At 39.4% G+C, this 21278-nt stretch overlaps 2 protein-coding genes across 3 annotated transcripts in view; both read right to left on the reverse strand.

Annotated features, from left to right (window-relative positions):
* OR3A2 (olfactory receptor family 3 subfamily A member 2) overlaps nucleotides 1-21278 on the reverse strand; it is a 110196-nt gene that overhangs the window by 8941 nt on the left and 79977 nt on the right. The window contains exons 3-4 of one of the 2 annotated variants that reach the window (XM_047436157.1): nucleotides 14680-14793; nucleotides 14053-14212 (exon numbers count right to left, since the gene is read on the reverse strand). The exons of the other annotated variant lie outside the window; for it this stretch is intronic. The gene's annotated coding sequence lies outside the window, so the exon portion shown is untranslated. The remainder of the gene's footprint in view (nucleotides 1-14052; nucleotides 14213-14679; nucleotides 14794-21278) is intronic. 2 annotated transcript variants of the gene reach the window in all.
* OR3A1 (olfactory receptor family 3 subfamily A member 1) lies at nucleotides 5964-13307 on the reverse strand. The gene is made up of 2 exons (NM_002550.3): nucleotides 13230-13307; nucleotides 5964-7535 (listed from the first exon to the last, which is right to left on the reverse strand). The coding sequence occupies exon 2, from the start codon at nucleotides 7527-7529 to the stop codon at nucleotides 6582-6584; it is 948 nt and encodes a 315-aa protein (NP_002541.2). The 5' UTR covers nucleotides 7530-7535; nucleotides 13230-13307; the 3' UTR covers nucleotides 5964-6581.

Consider the following 21278-nt stretch of genomic DNA (forward strand, 5'->3'; position numbering starts at 1 on the left):
TCTAGAGGTGGTGGGAGATGAGCCCTATGATGCTAGCAGGACTACTGGGAAGGTGCCTATCAACATGATTTTCTAAGTCCGGCCCTGAGGAATTGAGAGGCCTGGTGAAGGTGGCAGGTTAATGAACAGAAGCTGTGGGAAGATGTAGGCGTGTGTTCCTCTGACTCCTCTTCCCACTAACATTCCCTCGCCTAAGAGAGAGGGCTCCTTCTTCTCCCACCAGGGAGTTGTGGTGCAGTAGAAAAAGCAGAATAGACAAACCTGTTCTTCTGATTATTAGTGGTTTGACTTTGTACAAGCTGCAAAGTCAGTTTTGGGGCCTCAGTTTCCTCATCTGTAAAATGAGATATCCTTCCTCACAGAGCACTGCTGTGAACATTACATTCATTAAGTTGCTAATAGAGGTTCAACAATTTATCTACATATGAATTGATAACAATTATGAGTATCTGTGGCTGTGTGTGGTGACTCAAACTTGTAATCTTAGCACTCTGGGAGGCTGAGGCGGGGATCGCTTGAGCCCAGAAGTTCAAAACCAGCCTGGGTAACATGGTAAAACCCCATCTCTACAAAAAATAACAAAAATTTGTCAGGCACAGTGGTGCGGGCCTGTAGTCCCAGCTACTCTGGAGGCTGAAATGAAAGGATCGCTTGAGCCCAGGAGGTGGAGGCTGCAGTGAGCCGTGATCGCACCACTGCACTGCAGCCTGGGCTATAGAGTGAGAATCCCTCCCAAACAACAACAACAACAAAACAAACACAGACAAACAGGAACCATTTATGAGTGTTTGTCATGTACATGGTAACATGCTAAGAACACAACAAGCCTGGAGTCTCAGTCTTCACAATTCTATGAAGTAGATTTTCTCTTTTTAAATATACTCTAAGTTCTGGGGTACATGTGCAGAATGTGCAGGTTCGTTACATAGGTATACGTGTGCCATGGTGGTTTGCTGCACCCATCAACCTGTCTTCTACATTAGGTATTTCTCTTAATGCTATCCCTCCCCTTGCCCCCCACCCCCCAAGAGGCCCTGGTGTGTGGTCTTCCCGTCCCTGCGTCCATGTGTTCTCATTATTCAACTCCCACTTATGAGTGAGAACATGTGGTGTTTGGTTTTCTGTTCTTGTGTTAGTTTGCTGAGAATGATGGTTTCCAGCTTCATCCATGTCCCTGCAAAGGTCATGAACTCATCCTTTTTTATGGCTGCATAGTATTCCATGGTATATATGTGCCACATTTTCTTTATCCAGTCTGTCCCTGATGGGCATTTGGCTTGGTTCCAAGTCTTTGATATTGTGAACAGTGCTACAATAAACATACATGTGCATGTGTCTTTATAGTAGAATGATTTATATTCCTTTGGGTATATACTCAGTAAGGGGATTGGTGGGTCAAATGGTATTTCTAGTTCTAGATCCTTGAGGAATCGCCACACTGTCTTCCACAATAGTTGAATTAGTTTACACTCCCACCAACAGTGTAAAAGCATTCCTATTTCTCCACATCCTCTCCAGCATCTATTGTTTCCTGTTGTTTCCTGACTTTTTAATGATAGCCATTCTAACTGGTGTGAGATGGTATCTCATTGTGGTTTTGATTTGCATTTCTCTAATGACCAGTGATGACGAGATTTTTTTCATGTTTGTTGGCTGCATAAATGTCTTCTTTTGAGAAGTGTCTGTTCATATCCTTCGCTCACTTTTTGATGGGGTTGTTTTTTCTTGTAAATTTGTTTAAGTTCTTTGTAGATTCTGGATATTAGCTCTTTGTCAGATGGATAGATTGCAAAAATTTTCTCCCATTCCGTAGGTTGCCTGTTCACTCTGATGGTAGTTTCTTTTGCTGTGCAGAAGCTCTTTCATTAGATCCCATTTGTCAGTTTCGGCTTTTGTTGCCATTGCTTTTGGTGTTTTAGACATGAAGTCCATGCCCATGCCTATGTCCTGAATGGTATTGCCTAGATTTTCTTCTAGGGTTTTTATGGTTTTAGGTCTTACATTTAAGTCTTTAATCCATCTTGTGGTAGGTAGAAGAATGGGCCCCAGAGATATCCAACCTAAACCCTGGAATCTACTTTATATGGTAAAGGAGACTTTAAAGTTTGAGATCTTGGGATGGGGACATCACTCAAATAATGTACACTGTACTAATTAAGTAATTTCTCATCATCCACCCCCCTCCTACCCACCCACATTTCTGATACATCCACAGAGTGCAGAGTGGTCAGGTCAGGGTGTTTAGGGTTCCCATCACTCAAATAATGCACATTGTACCCATTAAGTAATTTATTCTCATCATCCACCCCCCTCCCACCCACTCCCATTTCTGATTTTCCATTGTCTATCCTTCCACTCTGCATCCATGTGTACGCGGTATTGTGTCTATATCTCTGCTGAGATTTTCATTCCTTGAAAACATGTTTAATTTTTTACCTAATTTGGGGTAATTATAACAGCCATTTAAAATTTTCGTCTGTTAGTGTCAACATCTAGTTCATTTCAGAGTTGGACTTGCTGGATTTTCTTTTCTCTGGAGAATGTGTTGCATTTTCTTGATTCTTCATATATTAATTCTGGACTGTATCCTGGACATTACGAATATTCAGTTCTGCTGGAGATTCTCAATTACATTATTTATCACGTGTCATTTCCCATGTTTGATAGGTAATTCTCTTGGCGAGGCTTGAACTGCAAACTTGCTTCGTGGGTGGCAGCATTGGTCTCAGTTAAAATATTTTTACTTTTGCTGAATTTATGTTTTTCTATTATATATATATAATATCAATATACTGTATATGTAATCGAGCTTATATTAAATTTTATAATAAAATTATTGTGTTGAGACAATTGTTATCTACTAGGAAAAAATTAGAGCATACATAACAATAAGCTCTAAATATATTAAATATTTGACTTAAAAAGAAATGTAAAAATACTAGAAAAACATCAGACACATATTTATACAGCATTTAGATGAAAAAGCTCTTTTTCCTAAGCATGACATAAAACAAAGAAGATAAAGGTCATAAAATATAAAATTAATTTGGGCAGCAGTTACTCTAAACAAAATTAAAGACAAATGGGAAATTAGGAAATATGTTAGCAACATATATGGCAAAGAATTACCATTTTAAAACAGAAAAGGTTTCTACCAATCATTTACAAAAAGATAAACTATCACCAAAAGGGCAAAAAAAAAAAAAAAAAAAGACAAAAAAAGAAAAAGAAATCTGCAAAGAAGAAATACAAATAACAAATAAATACAGTTATGAGCTGTATAATGATGTTTTGGTCAACAAAGCCTGCATACATGGCAGTGGTCACAGCAATAGGCTATTAACAGGCTATTTCATATAGCCTAGGTGTTCAGTAGGCCATACCACCTAGGTTTGTGCAAGTACATTCTTACACAGGGGTAAGCGATGTTTGCACAACACAATCACCTAACAATGCATTTCTCAGAATGTATCCCCGTTGTAGAGTGACACATGACTGTACATAAAAATGTGTTCAACCACACCCATAATCAAAGAAATTCAAATTAAAAATAATACAGTATTTCATCTAGTTTTCAAATATAAAAAGATATATATATAACATCCAATGAGGTCAAAGATGTGAAGCAACAAGCATTTGCATACACTGCCAATCTGGATGTAAAATGCTGTACATTTTTTGGCAAATACAAAGGCAGAATACTTATTAAACTTTAACTTTGCATTTGTATTTCTGATAGTGAACACGTACTTATACACAAACACACAAACTACGTTCATGAACTTAGCCACTGGAAATAATTTCAGATACTCAGCTATATATATAAATACTAATCTCAGTATTATTGGCAGTCGCAAAAATAGGAACTAAATTACATCAATGGGGTGTGGTTAAATAGATTATAATTTTACATAAATGGAATATTATGCAGCCTTTAAAATGGGTAAGATAGATTTGTAGGCTCACATGTAAGAATTATACTATGCAATATAGACAGAGAAAAGTCAGATTACAACACAGTATGGTTTTGAATGTGGGTGTGTTTGTGTGTGTGAGTGTGTGTTTGTGTGTGTTCATTTGGAAAGCTAAACATGAAACTATTAACAGTAGTTACTTTTAAAGATAAGATTACTGTGCGGATGGTGCGGAAGGGTGGTGATGTTCTGTACTGTTTGTACATTTACAACATGATGTATTACATGGATAATAGAATTTTTAAGTAGCAAGGAGATTTCCAGTTTGAAATATAAAAGGGGAGAAAAATTCCAAATGAAATGGAATCTCCCAAATTGATAAAGAAACCGTGTGATCCTGGAGGGTGAACAGGGACCTGGGAATCAGGCCTTTGGCCATTGTCTATGATGCTGGACCCAGTGGCTCCATTCCACCCTAGTGGCAAGGCCAAGACCGAAATCTCTCCTTGAGGCTTGAAGTAAAGAGCCAGCTGAAGAAATGCCAGAGGCACCAGATCTTTGGAGATAAACAGCAGGCTCAGTTTTGCTGCAGGGGTTAAATGTAGCCAAAGAAGTGATGGTGGAAGGTGTGGTAGCTCCCTCAGGGTAAACAGATACAGTCTTTCTATTCATTCAAACTAACAGACTCAGAGAAATCTCGCAGTGGAAGAACCTTAATATAACCTAGTGCTTTTGGTCAAGAACAGACCCAGAGGAACTCATCAACTTATTCAAGGTCAAGCGTGTCGTGAATGAGAGAAGGGATGAGATGAGAACCACATCCCAGGTCTTCCCCAACGGTCTTCTTGACCCTGGAAGAAGACTCACTCTTTGTGTCCCTGAAGTTTGTCTGATGATGCAATAAATCAGAAAAAGGCATCTTTTTCCTGTGTCTATTGACGCCGTCAGCCAGCATGACTCAAAAGGTAGGGAGTGTTAAGTTGGGCAGTTCGTCACAAATTTTGATGACATTTTAGATACGTAGCTGGAGAAAATACCCAGCACTCTTTTCTTCTGTGTTTTCTCATCTAGTAAACCTTCTTCCTGACATCCTAGGAGCACCTCTGTTTAGAGAAAGAGAAAACGAGTCCTTGGTGTACTTTTTTTGTACACTTAGCATAACTTAAAATATCAATCACTTCCTTCTTAGTAGAGAAGACGGACTACAATGATGGCATCAGGAGTGCTGGAATTGGTTATTGCTGGAAAACATAGAATGGGAAGCCCACATCTCTCATGTGTGACCCACTTATTTTATGCCCCCGCTTTCTTCCTCTGATCTTTCAATACTCTCAAGGCATCTTATCCAATTCCTCCATTCTTTCTCATTTCCCATTCTGTGTACCACGTTTGGTCCTAACCCCCTCCACTTGCAATTCTCTCCCAGTTCTCCCTATTCCTCATCTTTCCACTTCATTTTCCTACCAACTCTCCTCCTCCAGTCTTGTTTTGCTTCCCTCTTTTGTGTCTTTTCTCTTTATCTCTATCTTACTGCATCTATTCAATCCCTCACCCCCATAAAATATTATAGAGAAGCCAAGTCACAGGTGCCAGTCAAAGGAAAGTTTTAGGAAAATGCATTTGGAAACAGCAGTGGCACAGCAGAGTTGCCAGGAATGGGCAATGAGTCCTAAATGGGAAGCTGAAAAGATACAGCGAAATCATGGCTGGTTTAACTTCAAGCAAGTTGAGCTAATGCTCTGGGTCAGAGCCACACTCCCCTACTGAGAAGGGACATTCAGGGTGACTCCTCACCATATGACTTGCATTTATAGTTATGGATTATCTCAGCAAGGAGGTTTGGAGACTAAGAGTGAGAGTTTTGGAGAAATTTTCATATTGAGTAGTCTTGGATTTTCTGAAATATGTAAATAATGCTTAGATTATAAATTCTTATCTTTTCAAAAAATTTGAAACACATGGGAGAAAAAGATGAGGAAAATTCATTTTTGTAACATAAGATATATAATACATATTAATGGAGTTTTAGCATTTGGAAACAAGTCTGTGAGCTGCACACAGGTATCAGGTGCTCCAGAATTACTAGAGAATACATAATCATACAGCTTCCCCTCTGTCCCCTGTCTATGCTATGGGGTCCTTGTTTAATGGGAATAGAAAGAGCTACTTTTTTGTTTTTGTTTCTTTTTGTTTTATTTTTGCTTTTAGAGTTCTGATGGGAGAAATAAAACAATCCTAATCTCTAGACCTATGTTTTATAAACAGACCAAGCACACCTGAACTTGAGGGAAAAATATGACTTCTGGCGGGGAGTTTTCTGGGGTACTTCTGGCAACTAAGGCTGTAACCAACCAAAGAGTCATTCCTTCTGGAACATGAACCTGTCAGCACTCACAGCTTCCTAGGTTTCACCTCTAGCCAGAAAGGAGAGAACACGGTGCCTGAAGCTGAATTTGTCTAAGGGGCTGGCTTGGCAGATCCTATACACTCATTGCTTATAATTGGACAGGGCTGCTTTCAGAAATGAAAACTATTATTCCCTACAAAAAGTCCTTCTTATGCCCATGAAACAGAAACAGGTGTGAACCATTTTTTTCCTAGTTTCTGGCTCTAGAAGACTTTTCCTTTAGTACAAGACACAGGGAGAAAGGGTCAATTGAGACCTCCTCAAGCCAGTGACCGCCTCCCTGTGAGCATCCTCCAGATGGCACTCTGCACATCAGGGTTTCTGAAGCTGTAGATGATTGGGTTCAGCATGGGATTGATGACAGTGTTGAAAATTCCAACAGCTTTATCCTTGTCTGAAAGCTTGGTTGAACCCAGTCGCATATAGTTAAAGATACCTGAACCATAGAATATGGCAACCACAGTGAGGTGGGAGCCACATGTGGAGAAGGCTTTCTTCCTGCCCTCTACAGAGCGAATTCGCAGGACTGCAGCTGCCACGTGGATATAGGAGATGACAATGAGAGCCATGGGGGTACCTGCCATTATAAAACCCACAGCAAAAAGCAGCAGCTCATTGAGTTGGGTGCTGGAGCAGGAGAGCTGGAAGAGCTGTGGGAGGTCACAGTAGAAGTGATTGATCACATTGGGGCCACAGAAGTTGAGCGTGGACATGGCCACAGTGTGGGTCAGTGCGTTGGTGAAAGCACAAGCCCAGGACGCAGCCACCAACATCCTCTGGACTGTCTGACTCATGCGGGTGCTGTAGGTGAGGGGCCGGCAGATGGCCAGGAATCGGTCATAGGCCATGGCGGTCAGCAGGAAGCAGTCCACTCCAACGAACAGATGGAAGAAGAAGAGCTGGGTAAGGCAGGCCCCACAGGGAACTGCACGCTTGCGGGACAGGAGACGACTCAACATTGATGGAACAGTGACGCTGATGCACCCAACATCCAGCACTGATAGGTTCCCCAGGAAGAAGTACATGGGGGTGTGGAGTTTGGGCTCCACCAAGACAGCTGCCAGGATGCTGAGGTTGCCCCTGACCGTGACCAGGTAGGCAAAGAGGAAGAGCACAAAGACAACTGGCTGCAGCCCTGGCGCCTCCAGCAAGCCCAGCAGGATGAACTCAGCAATGACTGTTCCATTGGCCCCAGATTCTGGCTGCATGAGTTCCTGCAAAGAAACATCCAGGGAGGAAAAGAATCACTCCTCCCAATAATTTATTTACTCAAGAAAAAGAAACAGACCCCCTTCTACTTGCCCGGCCCTCTGCCACGTTCCCTCTGTACAAGTAAGGAATTTTGCGCTCCTTAGGCCACACTACACTTGTTTACTCTGTCGCTACATTTACCTGAATAACTTTATTTGCAGGCGTAAGCACAGGTAACATTACCACTCTGGACCTCCCTCCTCCAACCCGCCCCCCAGCTGCAAGAACCTATTTGTAAAGATTATGAAAGACAAACCCTTGGGAAAAATAAGCAAAAAGTGTACTTCTGGTTTGAACATGGCCGAGTAAATCCAAAATGTTCTCTTCTCAGAACTTATCTCTTTCCAAAACAAGCAGAAAAATAAACATACAGATTCTATCTTCAAAGAAACTAGTAAGTGTCCACAACCCCAATCCATAAACTAGATTGGATGGATTCAAGAACAGTAAAGATCAAATAGGAGAGTGACAAGAAGCAGAGAGAGGAAATCCATGACTGTATAAGAGTTAAATGAGTATAATTCTCTTAAAAAAAAAAAAAGGGTGGGTAGGGGGAGGCAATCAACAAAAAACAAAACCAAAGCTCTTGTTTGCAATAATGGGTATATGGTGTAAAGTATGGCACCATAATCCTCTGTGACCCTGAATTGGACTCAAGAAGCAGAGAAAAGGCTAAATGAAGACTTAGGTACACAGGCTATAGATAAAGCATAAAACTGGAGGCAAAAGGTAGAAAAAAATACATCAGTTCTAACAGTTCTATTTACCTGTCTGCATTCATTACACACAAATAAAAGCTAAAATAATTTACCTCCAATTCTGAATCACAAGGTAGGTTCCTGCTAGTCTGAAACATGTCTTAGACTTGCAAGATACAAGCATCTTGTGAATATCTAGTTTGGCAAAAACTCATGTCATTTAAGGATTAAAACAAACCTGCACATCATATAAACAAGGATTCTACAAGAAAAAAGAGGTAAATAAACAAGAAAGACAAATGGATGACAAAATTCACTCCATCAAAGAATGTTGCCAATGAACATATGAAAACTGTTACCTGGCAAAGACATGGAATCAACCCAAATGCCCATCAATGACAGACTGGATAAAGAAAATGTGGTACATATACACCACGGAATACTATGCAGCCATGAAAAAGAATGAGATCATGTCCTTTGCAGGGATGTGGATGAAGCTGGAAGCCATTATCCTCAGCAAACTAATGCAGGAACAGGAAACCAAACACTGCATGCCCTCACTTATAAGTGGGAGCTGAACAATGAGAATACATGTACACAGACAGGGAAACAACACACACTGGGGCCTGTCATGGGAGGGTGGCCAGGGCGAGAACATTAGGGAAAAGAGCTAATGCATGCTGGGCTTAATACCTAGGTGATGGGGTGATAGGTGCAGCAAACCACCATGGCACATGTTTACCTATGTGACAAACCTGCATGTCCTGCACATGTACCCCAGAACTTAAAAAAATAAAATAATAACAATAAAAAAGAAAATTGTTACCCAACATTTCGGCCTCTCTAAAAATAAAATAAAAAAAAAACTTAAGGAGGCATTTTCTGGTATAAAATAAGAAAACAGAGTAAAAATATAAGAGCTGAGGGAAGGGATTGCAAGAAAGATAAGAAATATGAGCTGGAAGAAGAAAGAAAAGATGTTAAAGAAATGTAAAATTACTATACCAAAAAAACCAATATTAGAAACAATACATGGAAAAAAATTAGACAGATGCAGGAACAGTATTTTAAAAGATGACAAGATGCAATGAGAAAAGAGAGAAAATGACAGATATGAGAAAAGACAAAGGAGATCCAATCTATGTACATTCGAGTTACCAAAGGAGGAAATCAAAAAAGTGGAAAAGAACAATTATTTAAAACTCAATTTTAATTAAAAAATTACAGAAACACTTGACTTTACAATTCAAAAGTGTACACTTTGTCCCAGGAAACATTCATACAGAACGCCAGCATTGTTACATACCACTGGAGTATCACTGAATATCAATGATTAAAAAAATGGATAGCCTAGTCAAAAAACAGACAAACAAACAAAATCCTGTCAATTCTAAAGGAAAGAAATTAAGGTAGCATATCATTTCTCCAAAGTAACAGTCAAAGTTGGAATGTAATGAAGAACATGCCTGCAGTCTCCGGGGGAAGAAATGTGATCCAAAATTGTTGAAACTATCTAGACTATTATTCAAATATAATATTCATATATAAAGTTAAGTTGGCAATCTGAGAATTCAAGGAAAGTTACAAACATTAGCCATTGTTGAAGAAAGCAGACTTCAGAGTTTTGTTTTGTTTGTTTTTTTTAACAGAAGCTTTTTTAAGAAACAGACTTCAGTCAACAAAAAGAAAAATAGGAACTCTGCAGTCTATAAACTGGTGGTTAATATTAAATGTATTTAACAATAGGTCTAAGACTAAAACATTTGTGAAAATTGTAAGTATGAAAGAAAGTGTAAATGTTTTTAAAATCTCAAAAGGTAAAATGTTTATAATTAGCAAAAAAAGGAGATAGGAGGACGTATGTGTTGATTTCCTCATCTTCTATAGCTGAATGTTAAAAGATATTATTTAAACCTGATAAATTACATAATGGGGGTATAAGTACACAAATCAGTATAAAAGAAAGATTAATATAACATAATCAAATAAATTACATGGTATAGGAGAGAGAGAAAAGGGAAAAGAAACAGGAATATACTAATTTCATTGTGCTTATACCAGGGAATTAGTAGACACTGACTAAAAACAGAGTATTGGAACTCTACACAAAGTTACAGTTATAAAAGTAACCCTAGAAAAAAATCTTCTAAAATATAAGAGGAAGGATGCATACAAAACAAAGACAAATGTAGCCCTTACAGTGAAAGGCTATTTCAAAACAATAAAAGCAAACAGTATAACATAACAGAACAAAATTAGTACCAAACACACTTACAATGATAAAGCCGAGTGGGCCAAGCTCATCTAGTAAAAGAAAAGAATTTCAGGTTGGATCTAAAAAATACAACTCTAGGCTGATGCCAAAATATACAGCCAAAACCAAGTTAATTAGAAAGGGTGAAAGGTAAAGGAATACCAGTCAGATGTAAACGAAAATAAAGCAGGGATCATAATCTTAATATAAAATGTGTTTGAATTCAAAAAAGTCAGTAAATGAGGAAAAGAAGAGCATTTTATAAGGGGTGCAAGAAGATGTAATAGGTATGAAAACGAATGTCCTAAGTATATAGCATTGATACGTAAAGCAAAAAGCACAGGATGTTCAAAGAGAAATAGTCAGAAACAGGGTAACAGTGGATTTTAGTGACTTTCAGTCCATATAAATTTAAGTTGGCAGAATAAAGGCGATAAAAACCTCAATATTTTTCAAGAGGTAGAACCAATTGACATTGTACACCTTCCTTAAAGTGCCCATGAAACATTTACTGCCCAGAAACAGCATATATAAAACCAGAAATTCAGCAAACTTCAAAAGAACAAATAATACAAACAATGATATATGATCACAGCCCAATGGAAAGAAACATGATTTTAAAAATAAAATCCAATATTTAAAGAAATCCTTAAGAAACGGTTGGACCAAACAGAGAATGAAAACTAAAACTAAAGAATATCTGCAGGAGAAGAAAAAGGAGATAATGACAGCAGCACATTTTAAAAAATGGATTAAATCAGTGTTCAGAAAAGAATTCGTAGCCTTAAATGAGTATATCCACAACAACGAAAGAATTAAATGATCCAATCAAGACATTAGAAAAGGAACCATAAGAAAAGTCATAATAAAAGCAAAACTTGAGTAGAAAGAAATACAGAGCTAATAAACAAGTTCAAGAAATCTTTTATGGGTAGGAAAAGGGGTACATAAACTTGTTAAATTTTTTATTAATTCAATCAATAAAAAGAAAATACAACTGTATAAAACAACAATTTATAAAGGAAAATAATCACAATTACATTAAAAGATTAAAAAGTACTTACAAAGTCACTTTACCCCAATCTATATTTTTTGAAAAATTGGACATAATTGGTAAAATATGATTAAAAATCATGTGAAAACTTGCTCGAGAAAAGTTGAAAAAATTGAAACAAGCTAATTACTATGGGAAAAAGATACAGAGAAAGTTGTTCAAAAAGGGACTCCATTCCATTACACTACCACCAACATTCCGCCATCCCCACCAAAAAATGGAAAAATTGTGTTAAACTTTCAAGGAATCATTTTTTCCAATGTTACTTGACTGTACTGGGATATTGAAGAAGGAAAGCTTTTCAAATTACGTTTATGGAAGGGGCATAACATCTGGTTCTTTTCTTTCACTCTCTGCTCCCTCAGCCAGTAGCTGCCCCCTCTGGGCCCTGCAGAGATTCCCTTTTCTACACAGGTTCATTTTATATCTGCAATTAAGGCAGAGCAGCAGTTATGGACACCAGGCAGAGCTGGTGGAAGCCTCAAAGCTAGAATCCCAAATTAGGTCCCCATAAGGTGGTGGCTGTCGGATTTGGGAGATGTTGCATAGGGTGTCTCCTAAAAATTCTTAAATCAACAATTCCTGTTGTATCACCCTCTGAGTCTAATCATCGACTTAAAAATCATTCACTATAAATACTCTGTGAATTGACATATCTATAGGAGCAGAACAATTCCCTTACATATTAAGTAATTAATTAAACTACCTCTCATTTGCCCTTTCCCATCCACTTTAACTCAGGTTGTAAGGTTTTACACCCTTTGATTCTGTATCTTCCCATCTTTGTTCTAACCATTTACTTTATCTGGAACATCCTCTAACTAATTCTAAGTTCTCAAATCCTTTGGCTCAATTAAAATGTGCTTCCTCTGTAAAGGTTTTCCTGGTCCTGCCCCATCTCATATTCCTGTCCACTAAACTCTGCGGCACTTTAATTGTATACTTTACGGCTCTTAGCTCTGTTAACCTCTCACACGGACATTTCTCTATAGAGCACACCTCCTCTACTCCATTGTGGCTTGCCAACAGATTTCTGCCAAATTCAGCTTTGCATTCTTAATGCCTTGTGTCACACTTTGCATACAGTAGGGTTCAATATTTCTGAAATAAATAAATAAATGAACTTTGAAAGTATGACCGTAAGAGCAACAATATTTCAGTAAAAGGGAGCATCAGATTGGGCTGTAGGAGTTGGGAAAGGCTTTCTGGATGAGCTGGAGTTTGTGCAACACGATAAAAGATTGATACGATTTAAGGGAGGTGCAAGTGTGAGGAAAAGGCACAGAAGTACTGCTGTAGGTGTCTCTTCTCCCTTTATCTAGATGGCGTGGGGTTTCTTTGTTGTTCTTCTTTTTTATTAGTTTCTTCTAGAGTCAAGATAGATGGGGTGGTTCTGAGGACTCATTTGGGAATAGTTAAGACATTAGTTAAAACAATCCATTCACGGAGATGTCTTTTTGATAGAACATCTCAAAAGAATTTGGCAATTAGGAATGGTAGACCCTATGAATAAATAAGAATAGGCTAGAAGAGTACACCCCACAGAGATGCCATATAACCCAACAAGAGTCTAGGATGAACACTGGTCTATGTTTCCAAGAAGCCTGTCTTACACAGGATCACAGTGATGACCTCACCTGTAGAGACTCACCTGGATTACCACTCTCAGGCATCCAGCTTGAGGCTCAGGCTGCCCTTATTGAGTGATCCTGGATCCCTGCTCCAACATTCCAACTAAGTCCTTTATGCATCTGATGATCGTGACTCAATACAACCCTCTGTTGTAGGAACCTGGTTCAGCGTTGCTCCCCGAGAAATGGGTCCAGGCAGGAAGGTTGGATTCTCTGAGTGCCCTCCTACTCACTTCAGTAAAAAGAGAAAGCAGGCCTCATCTAGGAAGGACGGGCATTGGCAACGTGCCCTGGCATGGGAGAGTCCCAGATCTTTCTCTCACTTGATATGTTATCTCGAACAAGACTCTCTTTCTCTAGTAAGTCCTCCATGAAATAAGAGATTTGACCACTTGGTAACAACTCAAATGCCACCTCTATTATTAGGGAGCAGAAGGGGGCCCCCGGAGAGTCCTCACCTCGTTGTGGATACAGAGGCCAGCAAGGTTTCTATTGAAGGGAAAGGAAGCGGGTGAAGCACTGTGCAGGCCTGTGCTCCGGAGAGCAAAGAAGGGCCATATACGAGAAAACGAGTGAGCCAGAAATGAGATCATCCAGTCATCTATCCACTGCCGTGTCAGCCTCTGGGGATCTCAGAATTAGCCCTTCCAGGAAGGTTCGGAGGTTTAGGGAGCCACAGAGCAATAAACAACCCAAGCTTTTAATGAACCCAATAATGATGCCTTATGACTTTGTGATGCTTTTGATTTTCTCAAAGAGGCCTCCCCTCCAACTCCTTACTGCACCCCTCATATTAGTTTCATGGGGGTAATTAGGGAGTATTAATAATCCCATTTATCATACCACACCAATGAAGTCCAGAGAATTTATTCATCTTCACAAAGCCACAGTGGATCTAATGGTGGTGCTGAGGCTAGAGTAAGTATCCAGACAGAGCGTTGTTCTCCCAGATTCCTCTCGGAACAAGAGTTCTGAGCAGAGAGAGCTGACTCTCAGGCTTGCCCTGGAGGTGAGAAGGAGGCACAAGAATGGAGACAAAAGGGAGAAGCTTTCTCCAACCTTGGCTTTCTAATGAGTCCTCAGGAATGCAGTGCTTTCTCCCTCAGGACCTTGTTAATCGGGGGCACTGGGGGGCACTGGAATTGCATCTTGGGGACCCCATCATGACTTTGGAATTGGTGGTAGAAGAGCTGAGTTCAGTTAGGAGGGACCAAGGGGTCCTGAGGGACGTCTCTTCCCACTGTAATTCTCTAGGCCAGGACCTTAGAAGTTGAGACTCTTGGTGATGAGGTTAATGAACGGCGAATGTGGAGAGGTTGCCGAGCCCTCCCTCAATGTCCTACTCCCTGTTCAAACAGGAAGTGCCCACCATGATGGAGACCTTGCATTTCCTTTGCTGCAAAACCTCCAGCCCTTCACACTTCCCCAGAAGAGCCTGGTAAGAAAAACACTGACGTGGTGTACACTCACACTTGCTTTTCCAGTGACTGACGGCGTGCCTTAGGACCAGCTGCTCAGCAACTCTGGCCTTCCATTTCTTCATGTGTAAAAACAGAATAATATTTCCAACCACAGAGGGTTGGTCTAAGAATTAAATAAAATAATAGTTAAAGCACTTGGTAGGGGATCAACAAATATTAATACTAATAAAATGGCAATCATTAATATTTGCTTTATTTTGGTGCATTATCTTAATTTTCTGGACAACTCTTTGACATGGCTTTGTTATTTGCTCCACTTTGCAGAGGAGGAATTTGAGGCTCGGGGAAGTTTAGTAACTTACTTAATGTTACCTATCTAGGATGTAGCAGAGCTGGACCTCAAGCCACAAAGCATGATTTTAACAACTTTTCTATAAGACTTTCCCTTCCCTCTTTTTTTTTTTTAATCTGCTTCAAAAAACAACTTTTATGACATCATCTGATCACTATGACTGTCTCTGCCCTCAAGACTCTGACTTTTGTGCCAGCCTTTTCAGCTTCTTCTAGCAAATGTAAATTAAAATCACAATGGAGGCTGGGAGCAGTGGCTTACGCCTGTAATCCTCACACTTTGGGAGGCCAAGGTGGGGGGATCACCTGAGGTCAGGAGTTCGAGACCAGCCTGGCCAACATGACAAAACCCCATTGCTACTAAAAATACAAAAATTAGCTGGGCATGGTGGCACATGCCTGTAATCCCAGCTACTCGGGAGGCTGAGGCAGGAGAATCACTTGAACCTGGGAGGCAGAGGTTGCAGTGAGCTGAGATCACACCACTGCACTCCAACCTGGGCAACAGAGTGAGAATCGGTCTCAAAATAAATAAATTAATTAATTAATTAAATAAAATCACAATAGAGACACTATTTTACATGTACTATTGGCCTAAATGAAGAAACGACATAATATCAAGTTTTGATGAAAATATTGAGCAACAAAAATTTTTTTCTTTTTTTTTTAAATTATACTTTAAGTTCTAGGGTACATGTGCACAATGTGCAGGTTTGTTACATATGTATACATGTGCTGTGTTGGTGTGCTGCACCCATTAACTCGTCATTTACATTAGGTATATCTCCTAATGCTGTCCCTCCCCCCTCCCCCCATCCCACGACAGGCCCTGGTGTGTGATGTTCCCCTTCCTGTGTCCAAGTGTTCTCATTGTTCAATTCCCACCTATGAGTGAGAACATGCGGTGTTTGGTTTTCTGTCCTTGTGATAGTTTGCTGAGAATGCTGGTTTCCAGCTTCATCCCTGTCCTTACAAAGGACATGAACTCATCCTTTTTTATGGCTGCATAGTATTTCATGGTGTATATGTGCCACATTTTCTTAATCCAGTCTATCACTGATGGACATTTGGGTTGGTTCCAAGTCTTTGCTATTGTGAATGGTGCCACAATAAACATACGTGTGCATGTGTCTTTATAGCAGCATGATTTATAATCCTTTGGGTATATACCCAGTAATGGGATTGCTGGGTCAAATGGTATTTCTGGTTCTAGTTCCGTGAGGAATCGCCACACTGTCTTCCACAATGGTTGAACTAGTTTACAGTCCCACCAACAGTGTAAAAGTGTTCCTATTTCTTCACATCCTCTCCAGCACCTGTTGTTTCCTGACTTTTTAATGATTGCCATTCTAACTGGTGTGAGATGGTATCTCATTGTGGTTTTGATTTGCATTTCTCTGATGGCCAGTGATGATGAGCATTTTTTCATGTGTCTGTTGGCTGCATAAATGTCTTCTTTTGAGAAGTGTCTGTTCATATACTTCACCCACTTTTTGATGGGGTTGTTTGACTTTTTCTTGTAAATTTCTTTAAGTTCTTTGTAGATTCTGGATATTAGCCCTTTGTCAGATGAGTAGATTGCAAAAATTTTCTCCCATTCTGTAGGTTGCCTGTTCACTCTGATGGTAGTTTCTTTTGCTGTGCAGAAGCTCTTGTTTAATTAGGTCCCATTTGTCAATTTTGGCTTTTGTTGCCATGGCTTTTGGTGTTTTAGACATGAAGTCCTTGTGCATGCCTATGTCCTGAATGGTATTGTCTAGGTTTTCTTCTAGGGTTTTTATGGTTTTAGGTCTAACATTTAAGTCTTTAATCCATCTTGAATTAATTTTTGTATAAGGTGTAACGAAGGGATCAATGTGCAAAAATCACAAGCATTCCTATAACAGACAAGCAGAGAGCCAAATAACACCAGTAACAGACAAGCAGAGAGCCAAATCATGAGTGAACTCCCATTCACAACTGCTTCAAAGAGAATAAAATACCTAGGAATCCAACTTACAAGGGACGTGAAGGACCTCTTCAAGAAGAACTACAAACCACTGCTCAACGAAATAAAAGAGGATACAAACAAATGGAAGAACATTCCATGCTCATGGATAGGAAGAATCAATAGCGTGAAAATGGCCATACTGCCCAAGGTAATTTATAGATTCAATGCCATCCCCATCAAGCTACCAATGACTTTCTTCACAGAATTGGAAAAAACTACTTTAAAGTTCATATGGAACCAAAAAAGAGCGCACATTGCCAAGACATTCCTAAGCCAAAAGAACAAAGCTGGAGGCATCACACTACCTGACTTCCAACTATACTACAAGGCTACAGTAACCAAAACAGCATGGTACTGGTACCAAAACAGATATATAGACCAATGGAACAGAACACAGCCCTCAGAAATAATACCACACATCTACAACCATCTGATCTTTGACAAACCTGACAAAAACATTCCCTATTTAATAAATGGTGCTGGGAAAACTGGCTAGCCATATGTAGAAAGCTGAAACTGGAGCAACAAAAATTTTTATACACTGCTGGTGAGATCATAAAATTGTACTATCACATGAAAACACAATTTGGGCTTTATTCTTTAAATATAGTTGCACTAATTCCGTTCCTAATTAGAGACCCAAAAGAAATTCTTGCACATGTACAATCCTACATGCCTCCACCTGCAGGATGTTGACCGACTGGGAAAGGGCTAGTGGCCACATTTCATCTGCAGATGCTTTGCTGTTGGTCTCGTCAAAGTGCCTGGTATCTGTCATGCACTGTGTGAGCCTAGGGCTCCATATCCAATGTCATGCTCATTCTGGGAAGGCCAGTACTCAGTTCGGGCTAAAAGCGGCTGCCACCCACAGTACAACTTTCTATCTCACTAGGCTGCCCCTGTTCATCACAACATATTTTAAAGGAATAGTAATTTAAATAGTGTTATATTTGAGCAAAATTAGAGAAATCAACCAAAATAACACATTAGAGGACCTGTAAATAATATATGGAAATTTGATCCATGACATGGTGGCCAATAGATCAGTAGGAAAGGACAAGTCTTTCAATAAATAGTGCTGGAGCAACTGAGGAACCACAAAGAAAAAAATGATATTATATGTCTTTCTCACGCCATGCATAAAGGTCAGTTTCAGGTAGATGTGATACTTATACTGAAGAGTAAAAATGTAAATCATTGAACATATTCTGTGGAATATCTTTATAATATTTTAGGAGGTAAATATTTCTTAAATAAGTTGAAAGAACTTTAGTTATCTAAAAAATAAGACAGCAATTTGCCTACACTAAAATTTCAAGCCTCTACTCATCATATGACAATGATTTTCTAAGTGAAAAGGCAAGCTACAAATTTGATTTTCAGCATATATAGCTGTTCTGAAGTATCCAAAATATATTTCAAACTTCTACAACCAGGCCAGGCATAGTGGCTCATGCCTGTAATCCCAGCACTTTGGGAGGCTGAGGTAGACAGATCACGAAGCCAAGAGATCGAGATCATCCTGGCCAACATGGTGAAACCCCGTCTCTACTAAAAAAAAAATACAAAAATTAGCTAAGTGTGGTAGTGCATGCCTGTAGTCCCAGCTACTCAGGAGGCTGAGGCAGGAGGATCGCTTGAACACGGAAGGCAGAGGCTGCAGTGAGTCAAGATCACACCACTGCACTCCAGCCTGGCGAATGAGCAAGACTTCATCTCAAAAAAAAAAATTAGCCAGGTGCCTGTAATCCCAGCTACTGGGGAAGCTGAGGCAGAAGGATCGCTTGAACCTGGGAGGCGGAGGTTGCAGTGAGCCGAGATCATGGCACTGCACTCCAGCCTGGGCGATAGAGTGAGACTCCATCTCAAAATAAATAAATAGATATAGATATAGATATAAATATATATATTATATATATATATTAGAAGTTTTGGTACTAATATATATATATACTAATTATTATACTAATAATATATATATATATATATGTACCAAAATAACAGTAAGCCAAAGTAACAGTAAGCCAAAAATAAAGCAGACTCTACATGTATTGCAGCTTGGCTTTGATTAGGGGGACTGAGACAACACTCTTTGTAGGACTCTACACAACCTGTGTGATGGCTGGTGAGCACATGAACCATTCTTGGCTCTACGCCTCAGAGACTTTTCCTTCCTACTGCCTTATAGTGTTTTTCTCTCCGGATGTTAGAGTTTTCTCTCATGCACACACAGATTCCAATGCAGCCAAGGACCGGCGAAGACCCACCTGCAGGACTCTGGAGCTGTCTATCTGTGAAGCTCCCTCTTCTCCAGTACTTTCCCTCACCAATTCGTGCTGCCACAGCCAGCCTGAACTCTGTCTCCTCAATTCAGAAGACCACTGGGCTCTGTTTGGGTTCTCCTTGCCCTGGGTGTGGTTGGCCACTCTTTCTGGCAATAAGCTGAGGCAACTGTATTTCTCACACTGCTCTAGAGGTAAGGATTCACCGTCCTGCCCTGCATGGTATCCACTGCTTCATAGATTTTGTTTGGTTTCTTAGCTGTTTAAAATGGGAGAGTAAATCTGGTCCCTGTCACTTCATCATCATGGCCAGAGTAGTTTTCTAAGGAAATACAATTTCCCAAAACTGTTTACGAAGAAAAAGAAAATTTAAACAGAACAAAAAACAGAAATATTGACAAAGCTTTGGTCCTCCCTTCCTTCAAAAGCCTGCGGTCCATATGATTTCATAGGAGAATTCTACCAATCATTTAAAAACAAACTAGGTATATTCATACGATGGAATACTTCAGCAATAAAAAATAAACTATTGATACATGCTACAACATGAATGACTATAAAATCCATTATGTTGAGTAAAGGAAGCCTTACATAAAGGCATATGCACTGTACGATTCCACTTATATAAAGTTTTAGAATAGGTAGAATTAATCTATGTTGAAAAAATCAGAACAATAATTGTTTTTGAGTAGTCATTTTTTAACTGGAGAAAGGTACGGGGTAACATTTTTGGGTGCTGGCAATGTTCTGTATTTTGGTAAGTGTATGCATTTGTCAAAACTCAGTAAGTGTGCACTTCACATTTCTGTGTTTCACTGCATATTAAGTTTGCATAAACAACAGACATAAACATATTGAAGTTGTGTTATGATATGCATGCTTAAGTATTTAGGGGGACATGTACTGATGTCTGCGTCTAGAGGGGTGGAGAGGTATGTCTTCGTTTTTTTCCTTCACAGTTGACAGAGTTAAAATACCTCTGTTAACCACCAATCCACCAGGCCTTGAAGCCAATCAAAACTCCCCTTGAAACAAAGATATAGGCAAGGAATATGAAGAATATAAGCAGGGGATATGAAGACTACATGTTTCCCTGCCCCTTATATAAAATATAACTGAGTAATTTTTACTTTTGTCATGAGGTAACAAGGAATCTAGTCTTGGGAATGTAGAGTATCAATGGAAGAGACGAGATCCTTGCACAAATTAGGGAGGTAGAGATTACTCATGACATAGGACAAAAATCAGAGATGCAAATACTTTGTTGTATTATTATTCATAATGGCAAAAAATTGAAAACTAAGTATGCAATGGTTAAGTGAATGTTAGCACATGCAAATGGTAGCATATTAGAAAATCATAAAATTTTGAAGAATAATATATTACACGAAGCTCAAATATAAAGACAGTAAAAGAAAGTTGAAAATAAAATTCTATTAAATATCATACCTTTTGTAATAAAATTCTATTAAATATCATACCTTTTGTAAACCACAAATGATTAGACGTGTGTGGACACGTGCATAGGAATAGTGATTAGGTGGTAATTATTTGGTTCGTGCCTTCCTTCTTTATGAGCTGATAAGCTCCATGTAGGGAGGGAGCATGTCTGTATTTGGTCACCTCTTTACTAGCATATTACCTGAAAAATAGTACTGTGCTCAATTAATAGATGCCAAATAATGAGTGGCAGGATCCTATCTCTGTTAAGCAAGGTGAAGAGGAGCATTTGGTGTGCGGAACAAGCAGCTCTGGATACTCAAGAAGGTGGTTCAGCAGCTCAGTGGAAGAACAAGCCAACAGTGGCTGAGCTCCACTGGAGGCTCTGCCTTTTTTGGTTGTTGTTTGTTTGCCTGTTTTTTTAGAGACAGGCCTTGCTCTGTTACCCAGGCCGAAATTCTATGGCGCCATCATAGCTCAACGCAGCCTCAAACTCCTGGCCTCAAGCAATCCTCCTACCTTAGCCTCCCAAGTAGCTGGGACTACATGTTTGTGCCACCACAGTCAGCTAATTTTTTTTGTAGA

Source organism: Homo sapiens, chromosome 17 (genome assembly GCF_000001405.40).
Source record: "Homo sapiens chromosome 17, GRCh38.p14 Primary Assembly".
Classification (NCBI taxonomy): Eukaryota; Metazoa; Chordata; class Mammalia; order Primates; family Hominidae; genus Homo; species Homo sapiens.

What these genes read in the sequence shown, in the direction of transcription:
- OR3A1 (NM_002550.3), bottom strand. Translation starts at nt 7,529, where the DNA reads ATGCAGCCAGAATCTGGGGCCAATGGAACAGTCATTGCTGAGTTCATC.